Raw genomic sequence first — 2,674 nt, 5'->3', positions numbered from 1 at the left:
GTTGAATAATCAAAGCCACATTTTTATTTTGATGTCAACCTAGGAAAAAACTGAAGTATGAGAAAGATACTAACTTTGAACATGGGGTATTAAATATTTCAGTTACAATAAAATGAGTTATTATTTACTGAAAGTTTTAAAGACACATTTTCATCTCATCCGGTTTTCAGAATTACACAATGAAATATACAAATTTAGTTTCTACATTTTACAGATGAGGAAACTGAAGTGTACAGAATATGTTACTTGCCAAAGGTAAACAGACAGTAACTGGTAGGGTCAATATTTGAATTCATGCAATCTGATCAGCCTTTTACTATGCTACTACTAGAAAGTCAAATAAATACATAGATGATGAGCTATATTAAACGCTATTGGCCAAATAAGTATGCATGCAGGTGACAGATGAATTAAAACTAAGATTTAAAAATAAAATAGGTATGTGAAACTTCTTTATTCGGTTTCTAGACTGCAACCACGCTGGTTCCCAATGTTGCCTTAGTAATTTTTTTAATAATCCGTAAAATCTGTACAACACAATGTTCACAACATATCCCTTTGAGAAAAGTTTAGCGAATAGCATAAAAATTGTGTGATATAAAATCCAATTTCATTGGAGTCCTTAACATTTGTTAGACCATGCCCTTAATGACATGCTTAGTACCCCCCTACCCAGGCCATCGTTCAGTAAATAAATTACAGTTTCACCCACTGAGAAGTTATTTTTACAGAGATAAAGTGTAATTCCATACGTGTAATACCTGGTCATTACCTTATGTCCTGAGATTAGTACAGTAATATTGTAATGTTGGCATGAGTGACATTTTACCAATTCCCAAATATTAGTCTGAAAACTACCTCTCACCATAAAAGCTATGAGGTAACTATGCAGGATTTTCCTGGTGATATGGCTGTGGCTCCAAGAGTCTGAGAAAATCCTAACTCAGGCTTTCCCACAATCTGATATGATCTACATTAGACAAGCTGACCACTTGCCACCCTTGAGATTCTCTCCTGGAGAGGAGCTATAAAAGACTGGAGATGCCATATTTACTGAAAATTCTGTCCTTGTCATCTTAAATCTTTTGCTGAAATGTCTATCCTATAAACCTAAGGCAGTAAGTAAAATTTCAAAAATCTTTTTCATTTTTAACTCCCCCACATTGGACTATTTATCACAAAGTAGATTTTTTAAGCACCTAATTTATTGTACAAAGGATTGAGAAAAGGTCCCTGACTGTATCTCTGGGACTAATTCTAAGCCCAGAGAAGATATCATTTCCAAAGAGATCCCAAACTCTTCCATGGGAAGGTGAGTTAGAATTACTAAAGAACACCTCCACATTCTTACCTCCAACTCAAGTAAAATAGCACATGGCTCATGCATCATAAATTCTGTCAACACTTGCTGTGTTAACTGTAGCTACCAACACCAGCTGACTATAACATAAAGCAATGGTTCTCAAACAGGCTGCACATTAAACTTTAATGTTTAAAACGTGGAAGCCCTGAAACCTTCTCTAAGGTTTAAAACGTGGAAAAGCCTTTAAAACGTGGAAGCCCTGAAACCTTCCCTAAAGCTATTCATTCAGTTCATGTGGAAGGGGACCCAGGCATTTCTGTTTTTGAAAGCTCCCCAGGTTTTCCTACTGCATTGCCAGGATTGAGAGTCACTAAGGTAAATGATCAGAGATTGCCTTCTCATTGTTGGGCCATCGTTCCAGGAACCAGGTGAATCTTATTAGGTCCATTTAATGAATTTCCCAAAGACTAAATTTACCATGGTTCACATTATTTTTTTTAAACTGTATCATGCCCTACCCAAAGCTTTTCCAAGCATCTGTCATTGATGACTATATCAATAATGCTATCAATTTTCAATGCTCTATATATCCTCCACTCACCCAACCTGCATTAAACCTCTTCTTCTAAAACCTTCTCACCATGTCCTTTGGTGAAAAATATTATCTTCAATAACGAAGAATATTTTTCCCCTATGATATCTTTTCTTTTACAGTGGATTGCTAAGGTTATAAGTCTCTCTCCTCTCTAATTCTTCCTGTAGGAGTTTCAAATTTATTGGTATTTTATTTTTGTTATATTTTATTTTTAATTGTTATATTTTATATTTAAAAGTAAATGTCTTTGCATATTGATTTTTATCTTTATAAGCTTCTGTTATCTGTTTATATTTTCAAGTGAATTTTCTATTTTTTAAACACATTAAACATTATTATTTTATATTCTGGGTTTGACTATCCCCCAAAATCAAAGTTTTTCACTGGTTTGAGTCTACTAGGGCTATATATTTTTTTTCTGACTCTTACTCATAGTGCATTGTTTTCTTCTGTGTTTTGTAAATTTTGACCCGGCACTCTTGTTTTGGAATTTCAACTGCACGAATTCTTTGAGGGCTAGTTTGAAACTGCATTCTTTTAGAGAGTCTTTATTAAATTCTTCAGAACCTAGAGGCATTTTGAACAGTTTCAAGTTAAATTCTCTACTTAAGGAGTTTCTGTTTATACATGTTTTATAATATGAGCCACAGATTTGTGGGGGCAGATTTGTAGTTACTCCTTTGCAAGAATTTCATTTTTATCCACCTAGCATGGACATGGGAAAGAAGGATGGGCAAATTTATTTTTCATTTACCCATACACAAATAAGTAAATGA

This window comes from Homo sapiens, chromosome 12 (genome assembly GCF_000001405.40).
Source record: "Homo sapiens chromosome 12, GRCh38.p14 Primary Assembly".
Lineage (NCBI taxonomy): Eukaryota > Metazoa > Chordata > Mammalia > Primates > Hominidae > Homo > Homo sapiens.
This window is presented reverse-complemented; position numbering follows the sequence as displayed.